The sequence below is a fragment of the Homo sapiens genome, chromosome 1 (genome assembly GCF_000001405.40).
Source record: "Homo sapiens chromosome 1, GRCh38.p14 Primary Assembly".
Taxonomy (NCBI): Eukaryota; Metazoa; Chordata; class Mammalia; order Primates; family Hominidae; genus Homo; species Homo sapiens.
In genome coordinates this window covers 179895688-179920517 of record NC_000001.11, presented here as the reverse complement: position 1 = coordinate 179920517, position 24830 = coordinate 179895688, and the positions used below count along the sequence as shown (strand labels likewise).

Below are 24830 nucleotides of genomic sequence, written 5' to 3'. Positions count from 1 at the left end.
AGGGGTGACTAAGAAAAAAATCTAAAAAAGTTCTTCAGGGAGGTGATAAAGAAAAGGTTAAGAAGCCAGGTGTAGTGACTTATGCCTGTAATCCCAGCTACTTAGGAGGCTTAGGCAGGAGGACTGCTTGAGGCCAAGAGTTCAAAAACAGCCTGGGCAATATAGCGAGATCCCATGTCTACTTAAAAAAAAAAAAAAGAAAAGCTGCTGTGGAGATTCTTTTGCTAAGTCAGGAATATCTAACTTAACTGTATTTTTAAAAACCCTAAGTGCCGAGATAAAATGGAAAGTTACGGCTATTCCACTTCTAACCAATGTACTTGCAAATGGCTCCAGTTCTTTGATTTTTGTTTCTCCTAGCCAGAGTTGCTACAATTGTTCAAGGAAAATACTTGGATTTCTTTTTTTAAAGATGATAAATCATTAAGTTTATAACACATAGAGAGTATAAACCAAGAAAGTAAATTTATTTAAATTACTAAAATAGCTTTTAAAGTCATTTACAGATCAGCTGCTATAATTATTTTTCCTGAAAGACATAGGTAACATATTACTTTTAAATTACTTGGGTCAATGAAACATTTAATAAAAACATTTGTTTCTCTATATAATACGTATGTATAAAATAAGCCTTTTCAAAAACTCTGGTTTTCATAATCCTCTATAAATCAGATGATCTGACTTCTAAGAGGAACAAATTACAGTAAGGGGTATACATTTATGAATACTGGTAGTACTAGAGGAAAGACGTTAAACCACTCTACTACCACTTGTGGAACTCTCAAAGGGTAAATGACAAAGCCAATGACTGACTCTAAAAACAATATTTACATTTAATGGTTTGTAGACAATAAAAAAACAAGGTGGATAGATCTAGAATTGTAACATTTTAAGAAAACCATAGCATTTGACAGATGAGAAAGCTCAATTATAGATGCAAAGTTATAACTAAACTACTATAGTAGTAAAGAAATACATTTCACACCCTTCATATAAATTCACTATCTTGGCTTGAGGCACTCCATAAAATGTATCACGTGCATAGTAAATCTTTATATTTGCTATGGCGTTGCACTAGAGGACTTGGACTGCAACAAGTGGATGCGCGGAAAATGAAATCTTCTTCAATAGCCCAGGACAGCTGGTTAACAAATGGTTTGTCAATTCCTGAAACTCATTTCTTAATTCAAAACAAAAGCTTCAGGGTGTGTCCAAAATAAACTGTTACGAATTGACCTACTTTTTTTTTTTTGAGACGGAGTTTCATTTTTGTTGCCCAGACTGGAGGGCAATAAGCATGGTCTCGGCTTACTGCAACCTCCGCCTCCCGGGTTCAAGCAATTCTCCTGCCTCAGCCTCCCAAGTAGCTGGGATTTCAGGCATGCACCACCACGCCCAGCTAATTTTTGTATTTTTAGTAGAGACGGGGTTTCACCATGTTGGCCAGGCTGGTCTTGAACTTCTGACCTCAGGTGATCCACCTGCCTTGGCCTGACCTACTCTTAAGACTCAAGTGAACAAATATATTAAATTTTGCAATATACATGAAGAATCCTTGGGACAGCCAAGAATTTTTCTTCAAGGAAGGAAAAAGGAGATGTAAAAAACAAATCCCAACGGAATCCACCAAGATTAACAGTTCATATACCTATGTTTGACTAAACTACATCTCAGTGGATTACTGTAACATTTCCTCCCTTCAGCTTCCCCATTAATTTTCCTTCCTTGCCTTGTTCTTTCCATTTTCCAAAAAACAAAAGAAAAAAATTCCAAACACACACCTAGATGACCTTTCATTACTTATGTTCCTATAGGCAGAAGCTAAGGAACTCACACCTAAATGGTATAAAAGGGAACATAATGGGAAAATCCCTGGTTACATTTAGGGAGCAATCTTACTAATAACTCAGGAAACTTAGTGAGAAATCTAAGTTAAAAAATCAGGAAGGTTCATAAGAAAGGACACAAATCCCTCTCACTGGTCATACCATAACTGTAATAACTCAGCCCAGAATCAAAACAGATTCTCTAAGGAACTGCATATAATCTGCACTCCTAAGATACCTTTAACAGAGCTCTCAATGGAAACTGAAATGATTCTCTCATATCACAGATAATTAGGTTGAATGAATGATTTATATGTTCCATGTTTATGTAAGCACTTAACTTCTTTAAAAAGAAACTAGTTCTTTCAAAAAGAGCTCTGAATTCTGTCTCTGGTTAGAAAGTGTGAACAATTCTCAGAACTTGGGACATGATTTTTCTTCTCTCTCACTTCTTATAAGCAGATGCCCCTTTTCAGGGCATTTTCAGGTTGCACAGGCAGAACTAAGTGAGAAATACGGCTCCAGAGGCCATTCAGTTTGTCTGGGTCCATATGATTGTAGGAGTTGGGTGTGTTAGAATTGGTGAACTTGACTTTAAGAAAATCTCTTACTTTTTCTTCAACTTCCTTTAGGCCTAGACTTGTTCCAAGTGTCTCTTCCTCCAATAAGACAGTCAGGACTAAGGCTACATCTTTGAAGGCCGCGTTTTCATGGTCACAATATTTGTAGAAGATCAAAGTAGAGCCTGCGGGAAATGACTCAAAGCGGTGTACCACAGCTGCATTCTGGCCATTCTTAAATCCATTGCTCAGTTCTTGGTCTACCTCTAGTTTGACAGTATCACTGTCTTGAGTAGCTTTATCTGTCCCATCAATCCGGATGGCACGGACACTACGAAAAGAAGAATAGGCATCAGCAATTTGTTCACTCAGACACCTAAGTGCTTCTTCAGCATCTCGGGCAGCAGTGAGCAGTAAGATAGCAGGCTGAGACCGAGGATGGGAGCTATTAAGATGTTTTTCCAGGAATGTTTGGCTCCTTTTCCACAGCTTCTCATCTTGACCTTGGTACTTATTCTTAAGTTGATTCATCTGGTTCTGGAACTCTTGAACAGCAGTGGTTTCTACCTCAGGAGTACTAAAGAACCAAAAACTCCCAGAGGCAAGAGCAGCTATCAGAGGAAGTAGCCACCACCGGTTCCTCTTGACAAAAGATGCATTTTGGGGTTGTCCAGTCACTTCTACTCAGACAAAAAAGAAATGACAGATATAAATACCACTTTCTTAGATTCAGGGGCAAGTGACTTTTAAAATCAATATCAGTCTTTATAAACATTAGGTAAAAGAGGAAGGACTTTAAAGAAGAAAGCTGATAATTTTCTTAATAAAATAATTTATCACATTCTCAAGAAAATCTTACATGCATAGGCTTTGAATTATGTGTACAAATATGCATATGTCTCTTCAATATAAAAATAAGTCTTTGAGGAAAAAAGTTTTTAAACATATGAAATGGCATAAACAAGTCAGAAAAATAATAGTTTATAAAGCGAAGTTATTATTTTCACTGCTAATAGTTGGGAGAATAGACTATTAAAATACAATTTATAAAATATTTTTTTAATTTAGTAACTCAGCATTCACATGGCTAATTATTCAAGGTGAAATATTTCTGAAGTACATAAAGGGATAAAGAAAAGGATGCAGGCTGGAAGTGGTGGCTCATGCCTGTAGTCCCAGCACTTTGGGAGGCCGAGGAGGGAGGATCACGAGGTCAGGAGATCGAGACTGTGAAACCCCGTCTCTACTGAAAATACAAAAAACTAGCTGGGTGTGGTGGCACACACCTGTAGTCCAGCTACTTGGGAGGCTGAGGCAGGAGAATCACTTGAACACGGGAGGCGGAGGTTGCAGTGAGCCGAGATCACGCCACTGCACTCCAGCCTGGGTGACAGAGAGAGATTCCATCTCAAAAAAAAAAAAAAAAAAAAAGAAAAGGATGCAATATAAATGAACATCTTCTACGTGTTATAATAGCTAGCTGTCCCTTTAGATTAATTTCACTGATGCCTTTTGTGGTATGCAAGTTAACACTGGTAAAATTTAGTTTGTGACTCATCCCTAGTTACTATTGGCAATAATAATAGGATTAATTTATATTTATCTAGTGCTTTTCGGTTTATAAAGTACTTTCTCATATTCTACTTCATTTATTCAGTTGATAGTAACAATAATACTTTTACATCTTTTACTTATTGACTGTTTCAGGCTATTAATTTTAGTAGGGACCTTTTAGAGCAGCAATTCTCAAGGCGTGGTCTGTGGGGTACCTCAAGACCCTATTTTGTGGGGAGGGGGGTCCATGAAGTTAAAGCTATTCTTCTAACACTAAGATGTTATTTGACTTTCACCTTGTGTTGACATTTGCACTGATGACGCAAAAGCTATGGTGAGAAAAACTTCTGATGCCTTAGCATGAGTTACAGGGCAGTGGCACCAAACTGTACGAGTGTAGTCATTGTTATTTTTCACTGCCATGCATTCAAGATTTAACAAAGGGACATTCTTTTACTTAAGAATGTCCTTTATGAAGCAGTTAATTATTTATCTTATTAAATCTGAATCCTTGAGTACATATGTCAATATTCTTTCTGAACAAATGGAAGGTATGCACAAAGCACTTCTGCTGCATCATACAGTACCATGGTTGTCTCAAGGAAAAGAATTTTGTGCAAATGAATTACAAGGCGAATTAGCACATTTTTCATGGAATACTATTTTTTACTTGAAAGAACAAGTAACAAACTACAGTCAGACTTGTGTATTTGGCAGATATTTGCTTTCAAGTGAAAATTAGGATTTTAGAATCCTAAATCTGCCACCATGAGCTTGACAACTCCCAATATTGTACTTTAACACTTTCTTTTTTTTTTCTGAGATGGAGTCTCGCTCTGTGGCCCAGGATGACATGAAGTGGTGCGATCTTGGCTCACTGCAACCTCTGCCTCCCAGGTTCAAGTGATTCTCCTGCCTCAGCCTCCTAAGTAGCTGGGATTACAGGTGCGTGCCACCATTCCCAGCTAATGTTTTTGTATTTCTAGTAGAGACAGGGTTTTGCCATGTTGGCCAGGCTGGTCTTGAACTCCTGACCTCAGGTGATCCATCCGCCTGGGCCTCCCAAAATGTTGGGATTACAGGCATGGGCCACGAACCCCACCCTTTAACACTTTTTTAAAGTCTTGAGATTGGCAGTGATGTTAACAAATGTGATATTTTTTATTACATTCCTAATGTGTCAATGTTTGGAAAATCTGCATTCCTCAGTGAACCAATGTTTTCCAAATGACCAGTGCATGATACTCCATTCAAAGTATAAGAAAGACCAATGACTTTTAATGTAATAGAGTACTAAAAGCTCAGTAAGATGGTTTTAGATATCCTATTTCAAGTAACATTTAAGAAACTACCACTTGTTGAGTTTTGGAGAGTTCAAAAAAGAATAGCCACAATTATCTGAAGAGGCTATTAAAATTTTTCATATCTGTATAAAAGCTGGATTTTTTGTAGATACTTCAACAAAAATAATATATTGTAACAGACTGCATACAGAAGCATATATGATAATCCAAATCCATTTTTTAAAGCTAGGCATTAAAGAGATTAGAAAAAATGCAAAGCAATCTGATCTGTTACTCTTCTTGCTAAATTATTTTAAAATAAATTAATACATATTTTAAAAAATGTTTCAACTTTAATTTCCTGGTACATATGGATAGACATAACCCATATTTTCAACAAAAAGCTCTTTGAGGTTCTTAATAACTTTACTAGTGTAAAGCGGTACCAAGAACAAAAAATTTCAGAATCATCATTAATCTATTTTCTTTTTTTTTTTTTTTTGAGACAGAGTCTCGCTCTGTTGCCAGGCTGGAGTGCAGTGGCACAATCTCGGCTCACTGCAACCTCCGCTTCCTGGGTTCAAGTGATTCTCCTGCCTCAGCCTCCTGAGTAGGTGGGACAACAGGCGTGTGCCACCACGCCCAGCTAATTTTTGTATTTTTAGTAGAGATGGGGTTTCACCATGTTGGCCAGGATGGTTTCGATCTCTTGATCTCATGATCCGCCTGCCTTGGCCTCCCAAAGTGCTGAGATTACAGGCATGAGCCACCACGCTCAGCCCATTAAGTTATTTTCTTAGTACTCTTTCAGGACAATAAGACTTGGAGAACTAAAGAAACTTGCCACAAGGCTGTAAAGGAGGTAAGTGGTCCAATCTAGTTCAAATACAGGTTTGCAGACTCCGAAAGCCATTGTAATCCCATAAAGTCATGCTCTGGCTAACTTTCTTTCAATTCAGCATGGTTTTCTCAGTTAACAGTATTAGTAGCTTTACTTATTTTAGCTATTATTTTTGGTCTTATAGACAGTTAAGTGAAGAGCAATACCAGATGTTGTCTCATAAAGTTTGTCTATAAAGAATTTCACTGCTAGTAGAATATATACTTTTTCCTCTCAAGTGCTTAAAATGTGATTCTTCAAATAGCATCGAGTCATACTGCTGTCAAAAAACATTTTTAAACAATTATGGAATACCAATTTTACAGAAATATTTAATAAAAACTGAATACATAAACTTACGTCGGCTGGAGGTTGATGGTGACTGGTTTCCAAGCTCTGATTTCAGAATGCTGTCATCTAATGGTGAGAGTAATAAAATAAGACTATCAACTTATGCTTCATAATTTGAGTATTTATTTCTAGTAGACAAAGAAGATACAAATTCCACCAGGAAAAAAAGAAGACAGAGATCAGCCAGAAGCAGAAGAAAAAGTAGAATATCTGAGTGCCGATTAGACTGAGAGCTCCTTGAAACACATGACCTATTTCTTTCATAGCTTTTCACAGCATATGGTGGGGTCTAGTACAAAGCACACAATAATTAGTTTTGAGAGAAAGTTTGGAAGTATTTGACCCATTAAGTATCTAATGGGATTGGTGAAACTTCCGGGATAAAAAGGACAAAGAAACTAAGCACACCATAATAAAATGAAACATATTATACCATCTGAAAAACTGCCATATATTGAACTCTTGCCTGGTGAAGATGCTGTAAAGAGGGGGAAAATAAGGACAAAATGTGGATTACAGACTACTGAGCTGTCTGGATAAGGTGTTTTAATATAAAAATCTTAATCCTCACTATTTTCTACCTCAAACTGATTCAGTATTTCCTCTGGGGATTCTGACCATTTCAAATACTAGTAGTATTTTAAAATCACATTTAAAAACTTCTCATCATTTCTGTTAATAGACAAGTAATAAAGTAATTCTGTTTTAGGCTTGTGGTTAAACAATAGAGCTCAAAAATAATTTTCTCTCAACTCTGTCAAATTTCTACTTTCATCTAAATCTATTTAGAAAATAAATTAAGCCGGGCACAGTGGTTCATGCCTGTAATTCCGACAAATCAAGAGGCTGAGGTGACAGGACAGCTTGAGCACAGGAGTTTAAGGCCAGCCTGGGCAACATTGTGAGACCCCATCTCTAAAAAAAAAAAAAAAAATTAAAAACAAGAAAAGAAATTAAAAATGATCCTAACCCTTCCCTTTCCCTTCCATCTTTCTTAGCATACCAGCAGGTTTTAAAATCTAAGAGAGGAAATGGAAGGACAGGCTTCAGAAGGTGGAGAGGCTGAGTTATCTCATTTGTATGACCTATATTACCAGTATTGCCGTCTATCACTTGCCTGGAGTTTTATAACTTTTGTATATATAAATGAACTTCCTGGTGGATCTTCTTAGCGTTATATCAACAACTTTCATTTGAGAAACACTGGAATAACTGGAGGAATAATATTAGCCCTGCTAAGATTCAGAAATAGCCTTATTTTTGATCATATGACAAAAAACTCCATAATGATGTAGTAAGACAAAATGACAGCAACTGTAAGAGGAATACTGTTTTTCAATTACTAGTTTAGCTTAGGATATTTCATTATTTAGAAGCTTCTAAGTTAGGTTATCGAAGTTACAACTAAAATAACAATAAAAATACCTAACCACATGAAACCCAAATCCATCAGATAATGTTTATTTTGAATACTTCACTCCATGGTTGCAAAGATCAAATGAGATAATATATACAAAAATGCTGTGAAGTGCAATTCTATGATGTTAATGATGAAGGACAGCTAAATAATAATTATGTACCATATATAATATTTATATAATTCATATAACACAAACACATACACAGCAGGGTATATACTGCCAAGGCAGGACATTGTCCAAAGTATAACTGCTATCCTTTTTATCAACATTACTAGAGATGCTAACAACAATTCTAAAAAACATCTTTTTAAAAGAAAAAACTCAGCTGGGCGCAGTGGCTCAAGCCTGTAATCCCAACACTTTGGGAGGTCGAGGTGGGTGGATCACCTGAGGTCAGGAGTTTGAGACCAGCCTGGCCAACATGGTGAAACCCTGTCTCTACTAAAATACAAAAATTAGCTGGGTGTATTGGTGCACCACCAGCTACTTGGGAAGCTGAGGCATGAATGAGAATCGCTTGAACCCAGGAGGCAGAGGTTGCAGTGAGCTGAGATCACGCCACTGCACTCCAGCCTAGGCAACAGAGCAAGACCGTTTCAAAAAAAAGAAAAAAGAAAAAAGAAAAAAAAAAGAAAAAAAAGAAAAAAGAAAAAAAAAAAGAAAAAAAGAAAAAGAAAAAACTCAAGCTTTTCTAGTCTAAAGAGTATGGTGATAATCAATCACTCTACAACCATCAAGAGTAGAGGGCACAAATCCTCCATAGTTGCTATTGATTCTACAGAAAACATTAACAATAAATAAGCCCTGATAATTATGAGATTTTAGACTTTAAAAAATTGTGTTTACACATATAAGCTCATTACAATAATCTAGTTATAGGCACTACTGTCTCTAAAGGCAAGAAAATTGAGGTTCACAAAGGTTAAGTGATTTTACCAAGATTACTCAATTAGTAAGTGGAAGAGCTAGGACTGGAGCTCAAGAGCTTTAACTCCAAATTGTCTTCTTTTCTCTATCTAAATTTCTGAGACAGGTTCCAAAACATTTATATTAGTTCTCTGACCTCTCCATGCACATATATTCTTCTCTATAATCATTGTTTTATCACCTGGCAAACAGGAAAAAGTAAAGACAGTGGTTCCATCTTTCCTAAAAGGTTTGGATGCAGGCAGAAGCCTGAACTGGGACCTGTCTACAGGAAACTGTTGCTAACGTCGGGTGACAATGTTCCATGGGGTAGAATCTATAGCCTAAGGTTCTTGAACACTCAGCTCTAAAAATGACTTTTTTTTCCTCACCAAAGCGGGCAGAAATATATAGTTAAAGAATGAGAGATAAAATGTGGAATGCTAGGAAAACATTTTTTTAATATTCTTGAAGAGGAATCTATTATATAACAGTGTTTGAAAAATCACTGTAGTCTTCCACTTCCATTGAAAATATTTTCTTCTTGCTCATCGTTCTATCTTAAAGTCCTCATGTGGTTGAAAGTCTAAAAGATCCTATTACATGCACACTTCTGGTGTGTTACTGTTACATAACTCTGAAAGCTCAATGTGGTTATCTATATATGGTAGGTGGTTAGCAACCAATGTATAATTCTGTAAGCCATAATAAACATAGTAACTTAAGACAAAGTAGAAATGCAAACAGATAAAATACTAAAAATTAGCTATCAATTTAGCAACTAAAAAGATCTATTTCTGCATTTCTATTAGATGTTCAATATAATTATGTTTCCTTCTCTATTGCAGTGTCTTATTAGAGGAAAAAATTATGCAAAGATTTTCTGATAAGTATGTACTAACTTCACTTATCTGGAAGTCATTTATCTGATATTAATTACTCAGAATGTACAGTTAAGAACTAAGAAATGACACAAGATGCCTCTGAGCTTTTCACATTATATACACTAAAACTCATGCATTTTTACATCCAAGAGTATCTCTTGGGTCTTCAAATTTAATTTTAATGTTTGATCCTGGTTATAAACATAATTCTAATAAGCTGAATAATTAATGTTTGGTTTCCTAACTATAATAGGTCAGGAAGAGCAAATTATAAGAGGAAATGGTTTTCTAATAGCAGGCACATAATCACAGCAATAAGAAATGACAACCAACAGTAAGACAAGGGCAAAAAGTTATTTCGGTTCTAGACTGCTTAAGAACTCACTTACATGTGGGCTAAAAACGTCACTGCTGAGAAAAAATGAATTATGACCACTCCTACTTTACTGATGGAAAAGCAGAGCCACGCATGTCATTTGGTCCAATTACAGTTAATCATCCCATGAGCAAGAGATATAAGATGTGGATTTTTACATTACCTAAATAAAAGTAAGAGAATACCTGATGACCTCAAGACCTATTGTGGTTAGATGAGTAAAGTAGGGAGGTTAAAGGTCACTTAAGGCAGAGAATATGCATGGACTTTAAAAAAATATGGTCGAGATTTAACGTGGACGCATTTCCATAGAAATTATAGAAAGTGAGTTCAAAGTACGATGGTTTTATCACATCAATTTATAGTATTCCTTAAATTCTGTGACATTTAATCCATCCAAAACCTAAACATGAGGCTGGGTGTGGTGGCTCATGCCTGTAATCCCAACACTTTGGGAGGCTGAAGCAGGCGGATCACTTGAGGTCAGCAGTTCAAGACCAACCTGGCCAACATGGCGAAACCCCGTCTCTACTAAAAGTACAAATATTAGCTGGGCATGGTGGCGCATGCATGCAAGTCCCAGCTACTTAGGAGGCTAAGGCACAAGAATGACCTGAATGTGGGAGGCGGAGGCTGCAGTGAGCTGAGATTGTGCCACTGCACTCCAACCTGGGCGACAGAGGGAGACTTCATCTCAAAAAAAACCCAAAACAAAACAAAACACCCCCAAAAACCCAGAAAGGCTGGGCGCAGTGGCTCAAGCCTGTAATCCCAGCATTCAGGGAGGCCAAGGCAGGCAGATCATGAGGTCAGGAGTTCAAGACCAGCCTGACCAATATGGTGAAACCCTGTCTCTACTAAAAATATAAAAATTAGCCAGGCGTGTAACAATACAAAAATTAGCTGGGTGTGGTGGTACGCGCCTGTAGTCCTGGCTACTTGGGAGGCTGAGGCAGGAGAATTGCTTGAACCCGGGAGGCAGAGGTTGCAGTGAACTGAGGTTGCACCACTGTACTCCAGCCTGGGCAACACAGCAAGACTCCATCTCAAAAACAAAACAAAACAAAACAAAACAAAACAAAACAAAACAAAAAACAGAAAAAAAACCCTAAACATGAAAATATAACTTGTGCATTTCAGCCTTTATTATGTAAAATTATGAGTATACAAAGCTGTTCCAAAATCTGCTAAAAGCAAAAAATAAGTATTGTCAAAAGAGTAGAATTTCATTATTGTATACAGACTGTATTGCTGCTATAACTGACAGCTTGTTAAAATCCATCAATCTCTGGTTTTCTCTTTTTTTTTCTTTTTTTCAGATGGAGTCTCGCTCTGTCGCCCAGGCTGGAGTGCAGTGGTGCAATCTTGGCTCACTGCAAGCTCCGCCTCCTGGGTTCACACCATTCTCCTGCTTCAGCCTCCCGAGTAGCCTCCCGCCGCCACGCCCAGCTAATTTTTCTTTTTTAAATATTTTTAGTAGAGACGAGGTTTCACCGTGTTAGCCAGGATGGTCTCGATCTCCTGACCTCGTGATCCACCCACCTCGGCCTCCCAAAGTGCTGGGATTACAGGCGTGAGCCACCGCACCTGGCCAATCTCTGGTTTTCTCACGCCACTATTTACATTCTACACCCAGCCCATGTGCTGCCAGTCCAAGAAATTACTAAACTAGTAATCATAGCTGTACTTTATTAGTGAAATCACAAACAACCTAAATGTTTATCTGAAGAACTAAATATTTTTGTCAAGAAAAACATAGCAAATACACAAGATTATTTCAATAACAGAGATTTATCTACTTACTTTGCATCCTGGTCCTTATTCTTGCAGTTTGTGGGGCCCATTCCTGGGGAGTTTTTTGATATCCTGAGCCTGAAGCAAATACATATATCAAAAGATAATTTCCCATACTTTGAAAGTTTATACCATATTCCAGTGTTATAAAATTAATCTATCAGAAAGACAAAATAAAGTAGGGGAAGAAAACAATAAAAGCAATAGTTTTATAAGTAAAAGATAATTTCAAAGGATCGTATCAGTGAGGATGAACCACTTCCTACAGCAAAGCAGGTAGCAAATAAATATATTATCACATAATACAAATTACTTGTGGTAAAATAGCCCTGAACACATTTCCATATCACAGAGTAATTATTATAGGTAGTACCAATCCGTGGTGAATTAAAAAGGTAAAGAGGGGTAAAATGACTTAAAATCTTATTACAACTTTTGTTGGGAGAATAAGGCAAGGTTAGAATTGATTGACTGAGGCTGGGTGCGGTGGCTCACACCTGTAATTCCAGCACTTTGGGAGGCCGAGGCAGGTGGATCATGAGGTCAGGAGATCAAGACCATCCTGGCTAACACAGTGAAACACCGTCTCTACTAAAAATACAAAAAATTAGCCGGGCGTGGTGGCGGGCGCCTGTAGTCCCAGCTACTTGGGAGGCGGAGGCAGGAGAATCGCGTGAACCCAGGAGGTGGAGCTTGCAATGAGCCCAGATTGCACTCCAGCCTGGGCGACAGAGCAAGACATCGTCTCAAAAAAAAAAAAAAAAAAAAAGAGAAAAGAATTGATTGGCTGAAAAAAGAGCAGACAACCAACTACTTACTTAGCACTGAAGGTTGCTTATCATGAGCTGTGAAGTTTTGACCTGAAACAGAAAACAGGGATAAGGTCATAGAATACTTGAAAATAACAACAAAAAAGATGTTGCACAGACATTTTGCTTGTTTACTGTGGATACTAAAAACAAACAACAGACAAAAAACATTCTCTCATCAATTCCAAGCATATAAATATATAAAGTATATATATATAAAAAACATACATATACTATATATATACATATATATACATATATATATATATATATATATATAAAGTGTGTGTGTATTTCTTTCCCCCTCATTTCTAAACTTCAAAATGTTTAGGAATTGGGCAACAATAAGGAGTTAGTTTAGGATCAGTACCATCAAAATAAAAACTACATATAGTCATATATATCAAGTATAATTTTGTTTAATTCTTTTTTTTTTTTTTTTTTTGAGACAGGGTCTGACTCTGTCACCCAGGCTGGAATGCAGTGGCACAATCTCAGCTCACTGCAACCTCCGCTTCCCAGGTTCAAGATATTCTCCTGCCTCACCTTCCCAAGTACTTGGGATTACAGGTGTGCACCACCATGCCTGACCAAATTTTTTGTCTTTTTAGTAGAGACAGGGTTTCCCCATGTTGGCCAGGCTGGTCTCAAACTCCTGACCAGGGTTTCACCATGTTGGCCAGGCTGGTCTCAAATTCCTGACCTCAAATGCTCTGCCTGCCTCGCCCTCCCAAAGTGCTGGGATTACAGGCATGAGCCACCATGCCCAGCCAATTTTGCTTAATTCTTATGTGGTAGATGCTATTACTGTTCGTATTTTATAAATAAGGGAAAATCAGCTGGATGCGGTGGCTCATGCCTGTAATCCTAGCACTTTGGGAGGCCAAGGCAGGTGGATCATGAGGTCAGGAGATCGAGACCATCCTGGCTAACACGGTGAAACCCCGTCTCTACTAAATATATAAAAAATTAGCCAGGCGTGGTGGTGGGCGCCTGTAGTCCCAGCTACTCGGGAGGCTGAGGCAGAAGAAGGGCGTGAACCTGGGAGGCGGAGCTTGCAGTGAGCTGAGATCACACCACTGCACTCCTGCCTGGGCGACAGAGCGAGACTCTGTCTCAAAAAAAAAAAAGGGGGGGGGGGAACCAAAATTGGTAATTTTTCCAAAATTATATATCTAAAAGTAGTTGGGCTGAGATACAAATCCAGGCAGTCCATATCATATACCACATACCATACCATAAAGAAATGGTATGTACTATCTATGCAGATTTATGGACATTGCAAAGTAGCTATGAAGTAAAACATGCTACTTCAGGTTTTGAGGTGGTATTTAAGGATAACTGTAAAATGACACAATGGGATGACTAAAAAATGACATTACAATTATAACAAGGTAAATTTTCAAATCTGCCCTGAGAAAATGAGTTACTCTTTGATGATAAATACAAGTATCGATTTACATTTATTTATTTTCAACTTTTTCTGAATACAAACATGTGCTAGCTGTTTAAAAAAAGGGGCCATTCTAGAAATGCTTAATTTAAAAATTCATGAATATCTATCTGTTAAGTATCTACTATGTGCAAAACATTGAACATAGAAATATTATGGTAAATAAGACAGATATTCTCTCAGCTTTGTTTTCAGCCTATACTAAAAATATACTTTTAAAAAAGTGGATACATACGTTTTAATATTTTCATCAAATTCTAAGACATACTTTTTAAAAAATGCCCTTTGATCTACAGATATATCTTTTAATTAATGGTATGGCATAGTTTAACTGGATGGTTTTTCTTTCTCATTGATACATAAAATCAATAGTATCTTAAAGTCAATGAAATATATCTTGATCAACTTTTCATTAGGATACAATGAACTAACTCATTTTTCATTTCTAAATAGTATTTCTTTTTTTTTGAGATGGAGTCTTGCCCTGTCACCCAGGCTGGAGTGCAGTGGTGCAATCCCAGTTCACTGCCGCCGTTGCCTGTTGGGTTCAAGCGATTCTCCTGCCTCAGCCTCCCAAGTAGCTGGGATTACAGGCACCTATCACCATACGTGGTTAATTTTTGTATTTTTAGCAGAGACGGGGTTTCACCATGTTGGCCAGGCTGGTCTCAAACTCCTGGCCTCAAGTGATCCACCTGCCTTGGCCTCCCACAGTGCTGGGATTACAGGTGTGAGCCACCGTCCCCAGACTAAATAGTATCTCACTGCATGGGTATAATATCATTTATACGGGTAGATACATTTAAGAGTTTCCAAAGATCAAAGATTTGGAGTAAAATAGGGCAAATACATAAAATAATTCGAAGAGTAATTTTCCACAACTGATTTTTTCCCAGCAGCTAATTCATTTTATGTCTCATTTTATAGTCACAAACCCAGAACCTATTAAAAATTAAAATAAAAAATATAAAATTGAATTCTAGAAATACAATGATTTTAAAAAAGATTTCCAAAGGCTTTTTCTTTTTTTCTTTTTTCTTGAGACAGGGTCTCACTCTGTCGCCCAGGCTGGAGTGCAGTGACACAATCTCGGCTCACGGCAAGCTCCGCACTGCCCCCTCAGGTTCACGCCATTCTTCTGCCTCAGCCTCCCGAGTAGCTGGGACTACAGGCACGCGCCACCACGCCCAGCTAATTTTTATATTTTTAGTAGAGACGGGGTTTCACCATGTTGGCCAGGATGGTCTCGGTCTCTTGACCTAGTGATCCGCCTGCCTTGGTCTCCCAAAGTGCTGGGATTACAGGCATGAGCCACCACGCCTGGCCTTCCAAAAGTTTTTTCTTAAGAAAAGAAAGTAATGTGGAAGAAAAAAAAAGTTCTTGAAGATTTTTACATACAAAGATATTTTTGGTTGATTAATAACTAACTCAGATTTTGGGAGACTTGATTTAAAAATGTCAAAAGAAAAAAACAGTAGTAACAAAATAATAAAGGTGGCTGGGCGCAATGGTTCACACCTGCAATCCCAGCATTTTGGGAGGCTGATGTGGGAGGAATGCTTGTGCCCAAAAGTTTGAGACCAGCCTGAGCAAGATAGTGAGACTCTGTCTCTACAAAAAATTTAAAAATTAGCTGGGCATGGTAGCACGTGCCTGTAGTCTTAGCTACTCAGGAAACTGAGGCAGGAGGATCCCTTGAGCCCAGGAGTTCGAGGCTACAGTGAACCATGACGGCACCACTACACTTGCCTGGGTAACAGAGTGAAAACCTGTCTCAAAAAAAGAAAAAAGAAAATAATAAAGTTAAAAAAATGTCACCAATGATTCTTAAGCAAATCATTATTAGCATTTTGGTATATGACTTTCCAATCTTTTTTTGTTATACTTTCTCAATATTTGATCACAAAAATTTTCAGTTGTAAGACTGAAATGAATATTTATATACCCATAACCAAGCTTGCCATTAACTTTTTATTACATGTGCTTTATCACTTATTTATTCATCCTTCCAAACTTTTACAACAGAGTTGAAATTGTACTAATATAAAATTTTATGTCCTTATTAGAATAAGTGCATATAAATAGGCTCAAACTACTACATTAGTCTGTTAAAATAAAAGCAATCAACCCATTTATACTGCTAGCAAAGACATTCAACAAATCACAGGAAGTAGTAGTTTTTTGTTTGTTTTTTAAGTTCAAATTCAGGTTTGGGTATAGAGAATAATAACTCAATAAGCAAGGTCAAGTGGTAGAGAGATATCGGATAAGTTTTTTTTTAGCATTCATTATTCCTCTTGTTCAATATTTACGTTAAATTTCAAAAGAGGATCTTCAAAAATAGGAACATCATTTGACCAAGCTCACAGGAAGACACTGTAAACACAGCTTTACTTACTTTGTGATGACTGCCAAAATGATTCTATATATTGACTAGATGATCTGGTGGTTTTATCTAAAAAATAAAAAACAGTACACTATAAATAATATCCAACTTTTAGACTGTACATTTTACAAGACAACAGTGAGAAATTAATAAAAAGAGCAAAAATATTCGGGTAACTCCCAGGTGGTTAAAAACGTGGATGCATAATTTATTTAAAAAATTTCTAGGCTGGGTGCAGTGGCTCTTGCCTATAATCCCAGCACATTGGGAGGCTGAGGCAAGCGGATCACCTGAGGTCAGGAGATTGAGACCATCCTGGCCAACGTGGTGAAACCCCGTCTCCACTAAAAATACAAAAATTATCTGGGCGTGGTGGCGCGTGCCTGTAATCCAAGCTACTCGGGAGGCCTTAGGGCAGGAGAACTGCTTGAACCAGGGAGACAGAGGTGCAGCGAGCCGAGATCGCACCACTGTACTCCAGCCTGAACAAGAGAGTGAGACTCTGTCTCAAAAAAAAAAAAAAGGTTAAAAAAGTTTCTAAAGAGTCATGTCACATCTAAAATATTAGCTAATAACCACTTAAAAAATTGTTATGATACAGAACATGCCCCAAGGTAATGACATAATAAAACCTTTGAGTTGCGGAAAATTTTCAAAGTTTACAACAGTGGAGCATCTTGAAATCATTAATATCCATTTTTGCTTTAAATTTTTATTGCAAGTGGGCAATATTTTTGTATACTCTTTTTCTTTCTTTCTTCTTCTTCTTTTTTTTTAAGAGATGGAGTCTCACGTTACTGCCCAGGCTGGTCATGAACTGAAGGGATCCTCCTGCCTCAGCCTCCTCAGTATCTGGGACTATAGGTACCTATCACCATGCCTTGCTTTCAGTCTACTCTTCTTAAAAACATTTTTTCCCAAATAAAAGTAGAATTTATAACTAAATTAGTTTAAAAGTGATCAGGTTGCTGTTTTGGAAACAGACACATTGATACAAAAAGGTGAAGTGCCCATATTTTTTTTTTTTTTGAGATGGAGTCTCGCTCTGTTGCCCAGGCTGAAGTGCGATCGCGCAATCACAGGACCTGAGGTTTATGTACTTCCAAATAGTTATGCTGGTAGCAATGGCAGCAAACTATTGGCTATATAAATGGCTTAATTAACCTCTAATTTTTAGAGCTTCATGTAATATGTATGAACACTAATAACAGCACTTAGTGTTTACTATGTGCCAGGTAAGTGCTTTGCATATATGAATTAATTTAACCCCCACAACAATCCAGATGACAAGACTGAGGAACACAGAAGTTAAATAACTCTCTAAAGGCAAACAGCTAAAAAGTGAAGGAATGGAACCCAGAAATTCTAGCTAGACACTACCAGCGTGTTACAAATCTCCATTTCTGTATCAAGAATTCATAGGAAAAATGAGGAAGGGTGGGAAACACACAGAATACCAAATGCCCAACAACCAGCGTATAATGCCAGGCACGGTGGCCCACACCTATAATCTCAGCACTTTGGGAGGCTGAGGCAGGAGAATTGCTTAAGCCTGGGAGGTCGAGGCTGCAGTGAGCCATGATCGCATCACTGCACTCAAACCTGGGTGACAGAGAGAGATCCTGTCTCAAAAAAATAAAAACAAAAACCAAACCAGCTTATGTACTTATTTTTAAAGTGAAATGATGAGGTAAAGAATAGGAATTACAGGTCAGGCGTCGTGGCTCAGGCCTGTAATCTCAGCACTTTGGGAGGCAGAGGCAGGTGGATCACCTGAGGTCAGGAGTTTAAGACCAGCCTGGCCAACATGGTGAAATCTCATCTCTATTAAAAATACAAAAATTAGCCAGATGTGGTGGTGCGCACCTGTAATCCCACCTGCTTGGGGGGCTGAGGCAGGAGAATCACTTGAACCCAGGAGGCAGAGGCTGCAGTGAGCCGACATTGCGCCACTGCACTCCAGCATGGGTGACAGAGTGAGACTCTGCCTTAAAAAAAAAAAAAAAAAAAAAAAAGAATTGGAATTACAGAAATTTTAAGGAGGTGGTGAAGGGAAAGTGCAGGACTAAAGTATAAAATTACTCATTATTTACAGAGTTTACAAATTTGTTTAGCATTATCTTTTTTGGGGGGGAGGGTCTTGTTCAACATTATCTTAAGCCTCAAACTGGTATTTTTCTCTCTTTAGTCAACTCTTTCATTGAATAAACTTAAATTCACATAAACAATCAGAACTTGTTAATTAATAATTTGGTTTGAATTTGAAAATCCAGAGATAAAGCTAGTTATATAATTAAATGAAAACTTCCTAAAAGTAACACTCCAGATAGTGTTGTCAGTCCCAATGGCAATGTGATTAGTTTCTCTATAAAATTCAAAAAACAACAAGTAACTCTTCTTTTGAGCACAAAAATATCTTATTTTCCACAAATATCAAAAAAAGCTAAAAGTGATTTGTTTAGATATCATGACATAGTATTAATCGGATGAACACGAAATCAGTAATTTTAATAAATATTTAAAGAAAAATTCACGACTTTTTATAAAGTATTAATAAAAATTTGAAAGTTTTTTTTAAAAAGCAAATTCATGGAATACCAAAGATAGTTCTATGAGAAGAGTCATATGTATATAAAGCAATATTACCTCCAGATTCATCAGAATCCCTGGATCTGGCCTTAACAGTAGTGACACTGCTGTGAGAGCTGTCTTGATCATCTTCTTCAGTTTCTCCTAAAGAGAAGTAAACAATATACTAATATAGTCTATTTTAATGCTCAGAAGATCTGAATTTAAAAAAACCAAGCAAATAATTTAACATTAAAAGAAGCCTTTTAAGTTATCAGATATAGAACTACTGTTTGTTTATCATGCTTATTATTTTGAATCCCAAAGTTCCAAAGGAACTAAAATTTATCTCAATTTGTGTCCTCTGGGGCACATAATACTTTCCTAAACAAATATTCAGAGTAATATCTAAAAAACTATAAGGCTTTAATGTAGAGTCAAAAATGAACAGATGAGCGTTAAACAGTGGAAAAAGTTTATGGGGAGGAAAACTACATATAATTAGTGTGTAGTTAAATTCAGATGTGTATTTGTGTGTGTGTGTTGGTGGTAGAGGGGTAGTGTACACACACCTGCACACAAACATTCTATTATGCAGGTGACCACCCTCAGATTATGCTGAGCTTCAACAAAAACTAAATTTTATTCCTGTACTTTTCAAACATAAACTGGTTATGAGAATTTGGAAAACTGATTACTTTAATACCATAATAGAAAATATTATCTTTGCTTAAAATGAACCCAAATAGACAAAAGATGCTTAAAATGTAAGGCTGTCATCACTCATTCTATCTGTCCTATTATTTCTGCCCAGTTAACAGTTCAGATAAGCATGAATTTTTTTTCTTGAAGAAAAACACATTATTTTCTGTTCTAACTTCTTTTTGTTTTTTTTTTTTTTAAGAGATGGGCTCTCACTAGGTTGCCCAGGCTGGAGTGCAGTGGCCATTCACAGTTGCAATCCCACTACTGATCAGCACGGGAGTTTTGACCTGGTCCGTTTCTGAACTGAATGGATTCACCCCTCTTTAGGCAACATGGTGGTCCCCCGCTCCCGGGAGGTCACCATATTGAAGCCAAACTTAGTGCAGACACCTGATCGGCATAGTGCACTACAGACAGCCCAGAACTCCTGGACTTAAGTGATCTTCCTGCCTCAGCCTCCCGAGTAGCTGAGACTACAGGCATGTGCCACAGTCCCCGGCTCTGTTCCCACTTCTTAAATATCTATCAGAATGGCTTCTAATGTAAAGAAAAAGACTTAAAGTATATATTATATGATATTTACAAGTAAAATACCTTCTTCAGAGAAATTGACCTTCTGTTGGACACTGGTGGCTTCTAGAAGAAAAAAGCATACATCAAATATTAAACATATAACATCAAAAGTTAAAGCTTAGGAATAAACAAAAGCTTAGGAAAAAAGTTAAAGCTTAGGAATAAATAAAAGAGCATCTCGTTTAGGAAAATGAACATGAGGACACATTAAATAAATTCTTTTTCTGTTAAATCACTAAGAATTGGCCGGGTGCAGTGGCTCACGCCTATAATCCCGGCACTTTGGGAGGCCGAGGTGGGTGGATCACTTGAGGTCAGGAGTTTGAGACCAGCCTGGTCAACATGGTGAAACCCTGTCTCCACTAAAAATACAAAAATCAGCCAGGAGTGGTGGTGTGTGCCTGTAATCCCAGCTACTCGGGAGGCTGAGGCAGGAGAATAGTTTGAACCTGGGAAGCAGAGGTTGCAGTGAGCCGAGATCGCGCCACTGTATACCAGCCTGGGCGACAGAGCAAGACTCTGTCTCAAACAGAAAAAGGAAATGAAGTGTTTAATTTTCCTTCAGTCACAGGTCTATTTTTACTCTAAAATGTAACCTTTGTATGCAAAAAAAACATTAAATTCTACATTGACAAATATTCTAGTGTGTATAGGTTTGCTATATTCTCATTCTCTTATTTGCCAAATCCCCTATACTCCCTTTAAAAACCAACTACACTAACTGGACTGATAACCCAGTTCTTTCGAGCATTGGTGTATCCAAAGAGGAAGAAAGGTAAAGAAACTTCTAGTTCTGGCGGGTCCATGTATGTCACTGTTTTCCAGTGCAAAAGAGAATTTGAACAAAAATAAACAAGCAAAACACATCAAATAAACTTGGAACATAGTATTTTTACATGGGCTATTCTGAAACTTAAAAAAAAAAAAAATAGTGAGATGTACCCAAATGCAGGTATTTCACAATTGGGTTAAAATATCGCTGAAGGATCATATGTAGAGAAGTAGCATGATTTAGACTTCTTCAACAAAGCTGAGAAAATTTCAGCTTTTATCTCTACTGATTTTAACCTCAATTTGCTTATTAAAAGGGACAATAGTATTATAGAAAGCAACTGCTAACACATTATACGGTGAATTTGAAAATATTTATTTTAAATCCATTTAATTAGATTAGTATAATACTAGTCAAGCTTTGAGTTCCACTGAAAATACTTCCTCTTGACAGTGGCAAGTGCAAATCAGTATCTGAAATATATTTGCCAACATTTTTTTATTTAAAAAAAAAAACTAACCCAGAGAAAACTGCTGATAACACCATGTTACTCTTAAAGAGCTAGACTCTGGTGTATTAAGTACTATTTTGCTCTAGGTTTCTTAGGAACACTGTCCTTTCTTTTTCTCTTTTTTGAGGGAGAAAAAGGAAAAGTCAAACGAAAAAAATTTTTTTTAAGATTTTAATTTAAAACAAGAGATGGGGTTTTACATCATGACCAGGCTGGTCTCAAACTCCTGGCCTCAAGCAATCCTCCCATCTCCTAGCCTGTAATCCCAGCACTTTGGTCTCTTAAAGTACTGAGACTGTAATACAGGCATGAGCTCCACAGCTGGCCAAAAATTTTTAATTAATATTTCCATTCCTACAAAAAGGTATTGTTCTCTTTTTGAAGTTTTATTATCTAAGTGCATAATTATTATAGTACTTCATATTTTTGTATAGCAGTTTTACTTTATTCATTTATGTAACTATTCACATAGCATGCAAATACAAGATGCTTTCTTAAGAATCAATAATCATATTTTTGTTATTATCTTAAAATGCTAAGTCCTTAATATTTGCATGATGCTATTTGATTTTCAAAAAACCCTTCATGAATGTCATCTGATTCCCATCTCATCATAAGGGAAGATTTTCATAAGTAAGGTTCATAGATATCAAGTGACTTGTCTAAGGGTATAGGTCTAATTTAATAATAAAAAAAGCCAGAAGACCGCAGGTTCTTCTGACTTCCAGTCTATTACAATCCTACCACCTCATCAGTCTTGTTCATAACAGCACATAGTAAACACTCAATAATTTTTTTTTTTTTGAGACATGGTTTGGTTCTGTCGTCCAGGCTGGAGTGCAGTGGTGTGATCTTGGCTCACTGCAACCCCTCCCTCCCAGGCTCAAGCCATCCTTCCACCTCAGCCTCCTGAGTAGTTGGGACTACAGGCACATGTCACCACACCCTGCTAATATTTATACTTTTTGTAGAGACAAGGTTTTGTTTGCCATGTTGCCCAGGCTGGTCTCGAACTCTTGAGCTCAAGTAATCTGCCTGCCTCAGCCTCCCAAAGTGCTGGCATTACAGGTATGAGCCACTGCACTTGGCCAATTTTTTGAATAGATGAATAAAGAAACGGCTGACAGCTGAACTTTTCCTAATATGAGAGGTTCCAATAAACTTCTAAGTGTAATTCATGTAATACAGTAGGCTTTACTAAGGTCCCATTTATATTTCAGTGTTATGTTTTACATAGTTACTCTAAAAATTATATGGTAGACAAAACCTCTTTAACTAGGGCTGAATAGATTTTAGAATCTATAATAATGGAAAGGATATGTTGGAGATTTACATTCATTTGTTGAGCTATCAGAATAGTACAGTACAGTACACAGTACAGTAGTATGACTAATACAGTAATCCCTTTTTTCGATAGGTATGTTTTATCTGTATACATTTGAAGATATGTTTTATTTCTGTACACATTTGAAGTTCCAGGTCAATTTGTCTAGAGCCAATTCATTTAACAGTCATTTCTCCATATACCAAGTTGCCTAAAATTCAATCTTTTTTCTGCTTATCTATGTGTTATCTAATTAGCATGGAGAGATGGTTTAATAATTATTTTTTAGCCAGCTTACATAAGGGAGCTCCCCATTTGATTTTAATACTTCTAACATGTTATTATATTTGAAGTATCTAATAAATCATGGATTCTATCCATTTTTCAACACTTTTCAGACTTCTGGATTTAATCTAGTGACTAAAGATCCTTTTTTAGAATTCTATGTTCCTAACAATAAATATTTATCAATAGTATTCAAAACAAGAATAACTAGTTATGCAATGCTATCTTGATCCCATCACTAAAAACAAAAAAAGTACTATTTTGTGTTTTATAATCCAATAATATCTATGAATTAGATCTTAAATAATAATAATCCCCGTAGATTTGACAATCAATCATTATTGAATCAGGTTATCTACTGTCTTGGCTACAGATACATTTTAAAACAAGGTTTTCATTCTGGTAAACAAAGCTCAAGAAACCCAAGCCTGCTATGATTTCGAATGTCATTCTAAACATTATTTAACGTCTCAGATAAAGAATTATGGCTAGTGTGAGAGTATTGTCTGTAATATAAAAGACTTTAATTTCTCATATTGCATGCTCTCTAAAGGTAAAATGTCTATTATAAAGCAAACTGTAGTATTTGCAAGTCTCCGTCCTCATTCTGCCTGCTATTCATCCCTCAAAATTCAATCCAAATGTCATTTCCAACTCATAAAACCGCCTCAACCTCTTCCACTGAGTAGGGTGCTTCTCGTCTAGGATCCCGCAGACATATGTCACTATTTCAGCACTTAAAAAAAAAAAAGATTTGTAAACTTGTTTTTCTCTTCCATTACATCACGTACATCTAAGAGGTAGGAAAAAAAAAAAACCTGAATGGCTATTTATGATCCTAGCACTTAGGTCGGTCACTGACATAAAGAAGGTGTTTAAAAATGTTTGGCTGGGCATGGTGGCTCATGCCTTGTAATCCCAGCACTTTGAGGCGGAGGTTGCAGTGAGCCGAGATCACGCTCCTGCACTCCAGCCTGGGTGACAGAGTGAGACCCTGTCTCAAAAAAAATAAAAATAAAAAAAGTTTGTTCCATGAATAAAATAGATTTTATGATTATAGAATAAAGATGTTAAGTCCAGATTTTTGCTAATATTTCTCATACTATGATTAACGTTACTTAGCAACTTAAAAAGTCTGAAATTAGTGCTTAATAATTAGATACCTGCAAGGTTTTAAACATTCCACCTTTTTACCCAAGCTGCAAAGAATGGAAATAAATATTTAAGTGCGATCTGATGATGAATCAGTAGCCATGACTACATAAGCTTTAATTTCATTTCCCTCTTTTGTTTTTCACCTACCTCTATTTTAAACTTGGCTGCTACATGTCGAAAGTTAAAGCATTAGATTTTGTTTTTTGTTTTTGTTTTTTTTTTTGAGACAGAGTCTCACTCTGTCACCCAGGCTGGAGTGCAGTGGTGCAATGTCGGCTCACTGCAACCTCTGCCTCCCGGGTTCAAGTGATTCTCCCGGGTTCAAGTGATTCTCCTGCCTCAGTTTCCCGAGTAGCTGGGACTACAGGCTTGTGCCACCATGCCCGGCTAATTTTTGTATTTTTAGTAGAGACGGGGTTTCGCCATGTTGGCCAGGCTGGTCTTGAACTCCTGA

General features: G+C 37.0%; 1 protein-coding gene and 1 pseudogene across 2 annotated transcripts in view, besides 1 other annotated feature; both read right to left on the bottom strand.

Moving 5' to 3' along the window:
* TOR1AIP1 (torsin 1A interacting protein 1) overlaps window positions 442–24830 on the bottom strand; it is a 37792-nt gene continuing 13403 nt past the window's right edge. For both annotated transcript variants that reach the window (NM_001267578.2, NM_015602.4), the window contains exons 4-10: window positions 20351–20392; window positions 19130–19216; window positions 16496–16552; window positions 12654–12695; window positions 11845–11913; window positions 6464–6520; window positions 442–3066 (exon numbers count right to left, since the gene is read on the bottom strand). In NM_001267578.2, the coding sequence (NP_001254507.1) occupies window positions 2279–3066; window positions 6464–6520; window positions 11845–11913; window positions 12654–12695; window positions 16496–16552; window positions 19130–19216; window positions 20351–20392 (1142 nt within the window). In that variant the 3' untranslated portion in view covers window positions 442–2278. The remainder of the gene's footprint in view (window positions 3067–6463; window positions 6521–11844; window positions 11914–12653; window positions 12696–16495; window positions 16553–19129; window positions 19217–20350; window positions 20393–24830) is intronic.
* Window positions 11480–11682: a silencer, noted in NCBI's record as "fragment chr1:179877971-179878173 (GRCh37/hg19 assembly coordinates)". NCBI's record gives its function as "represses an EF-1alpha promoter that drives an FKBP-Casp9 reporter gene in an ReSE screen in K562 erythroleukemia cells {active_cell/tissue: K562}" and the evidence as "EXISTENCE:reporter gene assay evidence [ECO:0000049][PMID:32094911]".
* Window positions 19954–20256, bottom strand: RN7SL230P (RNA, 7SL, cytoplasmic 230, pseudogene; annotated as a pseudogene).